This window comes from Homo sapiens, chromosome 10, assembly GCF_000001405.40.
Source record: "Homo sapiens chromosome 10, GRCh38.p14 Primary Assembly".
Lineage (NCBI taxonomy): Eukaryota > Metazoa > Chordata > Mammalia > Primates > Hominidae > Homo > Homo sapiens.
In genome coordinates, this window is record NC_000010.11 from 106,530,118 (window position 1) to 106,538,438 (window position 8,321).

An 8,321-nucleotide genomic window follows, 5' to 3' on the forward strand; every position below is an offset into this window, starting at 1 on the left:
GAATAGGTAACACCGAACCTCAAGAATCTTATGGGTTAATGGTTCTATAACCATGGATTCTGACTTCCTATGAAGACAATAAATTTTATAGAAATCCCTAAGAAAATAATTTGTTTTTTATTAAAGCTAAAATGGAAAGAAATAAGCCAAATAATATTAAGAATTTACTCATTTCACAAAGAATGGATGCTTCTTGATGTTGGAATAAAAGACTTTAGCTGATATAACCCTTTATTAAATATTGTTTCTAAAGCTATCAGATTTAGACAAGGTGTTTGAAATTAAGTTTGGTGTGGAAATAAGAGGAAGTACATTAACCTAGCTAATTCTTTTTCAATTTTATGCTAGAAGAATATAAATTATTTTTATCAAAATTAGTGTTCATAGTACTGGTTCTTTGATGTCAATATCAGCTCAGCTGCCCTCCCAAAGCACAAAGTCAGTGCAGGGGCTCAGAGGTTTGTATTTCCCACTCAATTATCTCCAAGAAAGATATATAAAGACATATTTGCACGAGTCTAAGATATATTTGCATAAGTCTATATCTCTAAGGAAGATATATAAATATATATTTGCATGAGTCTAAGACACCAGATCAAGGGAAAGAAACTGAGGGCCATCTGCTTTTCATATTTTATTCTAGTGGGCAATAGGCTTTAGAATGGCAGCTAATTTCTCATTGTAGTCCACAGGGCACACTTGCTATTAAATGAAAATGGTAAACTGGTATATAGAAAATATTCAGTAAATCATAGGTAATGTCTTATCTAAACTTCAAATCAGACCTATTGAAGAAGGTGTTATTATTCTTATTTTGTAGATAATGGAATGGAGACTCATATACATCTTATAAATCTGGTGTCATATAGACCTAGATTTGAAACATGGCTTTGCCAATTTCTAACTCTGTATCTTTGGGTAAAGTGTGTCCTCTCTCTACTACACCACCTGTGCATTCTCCCCTCCAACAGCTAACTTCAGTGGAACTCATATTTTGTGGAACTTCCTCATTCATGATCTGATCTTTATTCTTGGACTATACAGGCTAGACATTGATTAGTACTGAGCTTTCTTCAACTTTACTCCTTTCATATCAGATGCATTCAGATGCATAGCCTAGCTCTCACATTATTTTTATTTTTTTTTTTTTTTGAGACAGAGTCTCACTCTGTCACCCAGGCTGGAGTGTAGCGGTACAATCTCCACTCACTGCAAGCTCCGTCTCCTGAGTTCACACCATTCTTCTGCCTCAGCCTCCCAAGTAGCTAGGACTACAGGTGCCTGCCACCACGCTCAGCTAATTTTTTGTATTTTTAGTAGAAACGGGGTTTCACCGTATTAGCCAGGATGGTCTCGATCTCCTGACCTCGTGATCCACCCGCCTCGGCCTCCCAGTGTTCTGGGATTACAGGTGTGAGCCACTGCGCCCGGCTGCTCTCACATTGTTAGTGCCAAGGGAATTTAGAGCTTATTGTTTTGCTTATACATGGCTTAAACTCGTGAGCCAGGGAAGTATACTAACTTTTCATAAATGATTTGTCTTTTTGATAAAATTTCACTTGATAATTCAGAAAACTACAGGACACCTTCAGTAGATCAGAGCCAAATACTACACAAACTTTTTTACAGTCTTTTCAGATCATCAAGCTGAATAATGAATCTGAAGTTTCCTGATGTCTTTTTTGCCTTGAAGTTTAAATTAGATGTGATATCCCTTGGGTACCATTCAAAAGAGTTCTAATGACAGTGTAAAAATATTGAAAGAAACTAAATGAGATACTCTTATTTAAATATACATGACTATATATGTACTACCTTAACTTCATTGAAATGAAAAGGAAAGAGCTAACTTCAATGTTAATATCATTCTCCAACTGCCTGACTTTATATATAAATGCCAATAATTTGAAGGTTTTGCAAGATGGACATTTATAATTACTGCAGATTTCATTAGCTAAAAAGCCAAAATTAGAAGGCAAAAATTAGATTTTAATGAACGATTCTTAGGAAGGATGTCATGAATTGGTTTCTGGAGAATATAATTATGACTTAAAAATCAAGTATATTAAATGAGTCCAGGAAAGGACTAGATAGAGTAAAGATTAAAATAACTTCAAAGGCAGGCCCCTCTTGAACCACTCTTCCCAACCCCTGGGGGAAAATAAAGTAGAAAGAAAAGAAATAAGAGAGAATAATAAATGTGTGTTTTAAAAATGGAATTTGTACTTTAATGCTTTATAGTTGATGGGAAATATTTGAGTTGACAATTTTTACAGTTGTGATTTAACACAGTAAATTAAAGGCTTTTGTAGCGAGTAAATAGATTCACAGTGATTGGTGCTGAAATTCAATGGCCTTCCACAGGTTATTGTCCAAATTCTGCCTTGTCAGACTTCATGAATCCAGTGCCATCTTCGGAGCAGTTAATGACCAAGATAAATTGAAGGTATGAGTTTTCCAATGCAGCCTGGGAAGAGATCTGCTGCTGATGATGATAGAAATAATAAGAACAAGTAATATTGCTTTTATAGCCAAATGCATAGAGCAGTTTTCCATGCCATGCAGTGTGCTAAACATTCTATATACATAAAATGTATTTACTTGAAGAGATGATTTAACAGGGAGGTTTAAGAGTCAAAATATAAGAAAAACCTTCCCTCACAGTCTTGGTTTATTTCTAGTAAGTATTGTGTATTGTGTCATAATAGTTTCATATCAGTTCAAGCTGCAGGTTCATTTATATTTTTAAAATAATAAATAATTTAAAAAAGTAAAAGGAAAAGAATGAGCTCCCTCTACTTAGTAGTAATCATTAAGTATTAGCATTTTATTGTAGAAGCTAACACTTATAAGAAGTTCTGAAATCACTGTGTCTACCTAAGAGTATTGTGCATGCAATAGATCACAGAGAGCTAGTGTTAGTCTTGCAGGGGAGAAAGAATCATAATTCAGTCTAGGTAGTGGTCCAGTAATTCTCAGTTGACACTTGTGGTCATCCATAACCCCTTCCTTTTGGCTAAAATTTATCTTCCTTTCTATGGTCTCATTCTGAAATCTCTCTACCTCCTGCGATTTTTATTTTATAAATGAAACAAGGATAATTTGTATAGCTCTTTCTTTGTTTACAATTCTGTTGTGGGGGCAACAATAGTAAATCATTTCAAAAATGGACTCTGCTCAATCGTTAGAGACATTTTGATCCTTCTGAAAATTTCATACTAGTTTGGTGTTATTGTTTTCATGAGAATGCAAATTGTGCATATGTGTATGTGTGAGAGAGAGAAATGATGAATAAGGAATGGACTCATATAATTATAACAGGGAGATACAGCGAACACACTCACAGGCACATTTAAGGCCTCTGATACCTATCTTCTTTTTTTCTCTATTCCTCTGCAAATCTTAATTATAGAATAACAAGACTATTGCCTGTATTTGCTAAAGTATTGTCTCTCCTGCCACAAAATATTTGCTAATACTGAGTCTTTACTACCTCCATCTCTATTGAAATGCAACTCGCTTTTTAGGAGTTAGCTGAAATGCCACCATGTTTGTGAAGTCATCCATTACCAAGCTAATCACAATCCCCCCTCTTCTTCAAAAGCCTTAGAAATATCCTATGGAAACATTTTATATATTGTGATGCTATGTTAGTCATCCATTTTCTCTCTTACTACTTGAAAAATGCTTGAAGACAAGGTCCATGACTTCTGTCTTTATCCTCATTACTGCTCCTTGTTGAGAACTCGGCATTTTGTACAAATTCAATAAATGCTATTGAATAGTGTGTGCCTGAAATGAAATTTAGGTCCTATAGAATTATCTACTTCAAGATCTCATTTAAAAATAGTTCTTGCAAATAAGAATTCATTACTTGAGTTTATATACCTTAGGATTACCTTTTTTTTTTTTCAACCAACTCATTTCAAATAATATAAACTCTAGGATTAAATGCAAACACTTTGCAATCAGATTACCTAGGTTCAAATCTCAATTCTGCTGCTAAATAACAGACAGCTTGGGCAAGTTACTTAACTTCCCTTTCCCTCAGTTTCTTCATCTGTAAAATGGACTTGATTATAATAATACTGATTATTATTACCCATCTTCTAGGGTCATTGGGATACTTAAATATAAGTACATGTAATATAAATATATGTAAAGTGCTTAAAAAGTACCTACCAGCAATAGTGTATGCTGTGTAAATAAATAGTAACTATATTGCTCTCTGTTGGACAGATGAGAGATTTCAAACTGGCATCCACAGGCTGAACCTATTCTACAATTATGTTGTGTTCAGCCTAACACTGTTGGCATACACAATACTTTTGAATTTGTTGTCAATATTTACAGAAGGATATTTTGCATAAAATCCAGATTTTCTAGATTCTCTTAGGAAAAAAAATGGATAAAACAGAGGTCTTTGTTTCTCAAAAGAAAAAAAAATCAGCTGGAAGCGAGCAAATGATGCCTGCCTCATTTAGACAGGGCATGTGTTCTCTGGTGTTCTGGGATCCACAGCTGCTTGCTGCCTCCCTAATCCAGAGCCCACATGCCAACATGCTGTTCCTCACATCACAGCTTATCTAACGCACTCATCCAAGCTGTCTAGGTGGATGAGACTTCTACTGAATGTAGAAATTAAATGTAGAAAATTTTTAAAAATTAAATTAAAAAATAATAATTCATGAGTATATGATAAGTCTCACCTATAACAAAAGCATACCTAACCTGTATGGTAGGTGGATGAGTCTTCTACTGAAAGTTACAAATTATGTTAGTGCTATATTAATTAAAAATACTTTTTCAAGATATATTAAACATAGATAAACTGGATATTGCTTAGAAAAAAAGAAAAAAATTAAAATATTGCAGAGAAATGTCTTAGAAACATTCTACGGAATGTAGAAGGCTCTAAAATTAAAAAAAATAATAATTCATGAGTATATGATAAGGCTCACCTATAACAAAAGAATACTTAACCTGTATGATAAAGTCACTATTGCAACAACTATGATTTTGACCACCTCTGTTACTATTAGTCAGTGTTTATTGAGTAAACAGTATTTACCAGGTGCTATAATAAGCACTTAATATAAAGTATTTCTAGTACTTAATGAGAAATCTGCAAGTAGGTATTGTCAATTTAGGTATAGTACCAGTGAGGAAACAGAGGTTCAGTGAAATATAGCTACTTCTGCTGGGTACTGTCCTGCAGACCCCAGCTGTACGACGGATGAATAACGTACTCAGACACTGATATTCAATGAAAGAGTGGGCTAGGGGGCCAGGCCACTGACTGAAAGAGTTGTAGCAGCCATGGCCCGGAATAGCTGGTCCTGCTGGCATTTATTCAGCACACATTAAATGACAAAGGCTTTGAGTCAACACCACTAGAGGGTAATTAACCCAGTCGCCCTCTCCCCAAGAGAGACATCCTACTCTCAAAAGATCAAAGGTTAGTTTTAGGACCACATGAGTAAACAAGCTATTTAGATAAACTCCCTTACATTCCTTTGTACCTACTTTAAGCTATTTACTCAAGGTGAAGATTAGACTGCCTTCAGCCAGATCTATGACTGAAGCTTATGCAACACCCCCAGGCTTCCAAGAAGGTTTGTGACTATTTCTTATAACTATCTTTAAAATGCTTCCCACCAGCCTGCCTGAACTCCCTCATACTTGCCCAAAGTCAGTGCTGGTGTCAGCAAGACAACCCAGTACCATCTGGCTCCACACCCACAGTGTTTCCATCATGTTGGCTGACCTTCTCCTTGTCAACCTTTCTGGCTTCTCTTACACAATGCATATCCACAAATAGGGGAGGACTGAAAGGGGGTGATTTTAGCTCCATTTTACATATGAGGAATTAAGTATAGACAGACCCCAAAGAAAGAAAATGACAGGGGTGAGCAAGCATAGTCCTGAAACAAATGCAGACCTTGTTTATCTATTAGAAATATTATGAAAATATAATTCAGAAAAAAAGATATTGCCCCCGTCTATACTACAGCCTGCTCTATTCACATCTTCTGAAGTGAGACAAAAGCCTTTAAAGATATAATTTTCCAGCTGTTGATGCTCAGCTCTGTTTTAGAATACGTAAAAACTTATTGTTTGAAAGCTTAACAACCCTTTTCTAATGAGGCAGAGAAACAGTGCAGTTCCATTAACATACACACTGGTAAGTATATTTCAAGCAAGGGAAAACTCACTGTATGTATATAAATAGTGAATTAAGTACCCATTATTTATTCTCATTAAGACACATAACAAACATTTTCATAATTCTACTAAGAATTATGTAGCAGTTGCTTGTTAATTTTTGTTTATATTTTTATTGAGCTCTTTGGAACTCAAAATACTATTGTTTTGCTGAATCATTTATAATACTGCTAGAAATTATACTTTATGATGTCTTTTGGGGATGGAGGATCCATTTTTGCATATCCTGTTATCTTTTCTGATTCTCCAGGAAGCAAATAATTTAATGCAATACTTCAGTTTCAGAATAAATTACTTTGGATACCTTGAAATTCTCTCTTCTCTCTTTCCTTCTCCAGAAAAAAAAAATAGAAAAGCAAGCCATAAATTGCCATAATAATTGTCAGTTTTGATAGCCAGTTATAAATTATGTTAGTGCTATATTAATTAAAATTTTTTTCAAGAGATATTAAATACAGATAAACTGCATATTGCTTAGAAAAAAAAAGAAACAAAAAATTAAAATATTGCAGAGAAATCTCTTAGAAACCAATTCATTTAAGCCCTAGAATTAAATCCAGAGAATGTATAAGCTCTTAAATGTTCACGATCACTCCACTATGGCAGCCACTGTGTAAGTTTACCAAAATTATTTACAAGAAAATGAGCTGTTACCTCAGAAAAGGGGAAAAACTTGTCTCAAAATCCTTTATATTTGTCCAAATTTTTACACTTACTAGGCTCCAAGCAAGCATTAAGGGCAGAAGGAGGGGAGAAGAATCCTAATAAATAACATATGGGGGAAGAATCTCTTTATCTCAATTTACATTACAATGAGTATTGACAACCATAAGCAAAGTGACCAAATCACCAATCACTGGGATCTATTGGAATGCACCTTAATCTTATTTAGATTTACCAACCCATTCTGTAGTAATTGAACATGTCACAAAATAATGCCTTCCTTACTGTAGTATGAAATTAGTAATGACTGTAAATAAGGAACAATCAAATTCACCTATTTTAACAGTGAACTGTCACTATGTTGTTTTTAATCTATATGTACAAAATAATTCGTCATTTATATAGCACCCAATCCCTTGAATATGTCAACACATTAATCTGGCTTTCTGTCTCCTGCAAGTTCTCAATCATCTTTACATGAACAAACAGTCACATTGTAAGGCAAGCAAACATCCTAATATACTCCTGCTATTATTGTTCCTTGGAAAAGATCCAGAGCCTCAATAAGGCAGTGATTGGAAATGCACAAAGTATTTTAATATCCTAATTATTTTGATTTAACTTCCTCTAATAGTTTGAATTGATACTGAATTTATTTAGAACCCATTAGAGGTTGTTTTTTTAATTCAACAGATTATAAACACAGGCTGAACTTAATCTCAAGACAAAATTAATTATTCATGCTTCAAATTGCCAATACACTTCCAAAAACCTGCCACCCCCTTCTACATTCAGGCTTTTATTTTAATTCCCTTTCCATTTTAGGAAAGTAATTACTGGCAATGTGTATGTCATTCTGAAGAGCAGTGAGACCTTCTACCCACTGATCCAAACACAAAACAGACACTCAGAGCTACAGGGAGAGAAGCTGGTGGGCATCATCAATGCAATATCACCACCACAGGCTACCATTCCCTTGCAGCTGAGCTACCAGGATGAAAAGGACAGAAAGTCACAAGAACTCTCTCTTGCATTCATGACAAGAGAACCAATCACTAAATTGTCTCCCACACACACAGAAAACTCAAGGCTGTCTTCAAAGAACACAATGCACTTCTTTGAAAGTTAACACTTGCCGTTTTAGTCATTTTACCGAGTGTAAATTGTTGTTTTCGAAAGGAATGGGTTTTTGACCAAATGGAAACATTACATATTCGAACTTGTTAGTAACCCACTGTGGCAACGCAAGACCTTTTAATTCTTAGGTTCCCAAATCTGAGTAGGGTTAGAGAATAACAGTGATGATTAATCAAAAACCTACCAATGCAACAAATGGTGCTAAGCATGTCACACGTATTAATCCAGTTCAAGTTTCAGAGAGGCTTATAAGTTCTATCTTAATTAATTTTACAAATTAAAAAACAAATACAAAA

The 8,321-nt window shown here is 34.6% G+C and overlaps 1 annotated feature.

Annotated features, from left to right (window-relative positions):
- Positions 5,090–5,830: an enhancer, noted in NCBI's record as "OCT4-NANOG hESC enhancer chr10:108294965-108295705 (GRCh37/hg19 assembly coordinates)". NCBI's record gives its function as "activates a minimal SCP1, AML or CMV promoter by ChIP-STARR-seq in naive H9 embryonic stem cells {active_cell/tissue: H9 hESC(naive)}" and the evidence as "EXISTENCE:reporter gene assay evidence [ECO:0000049][PMID:30033119]".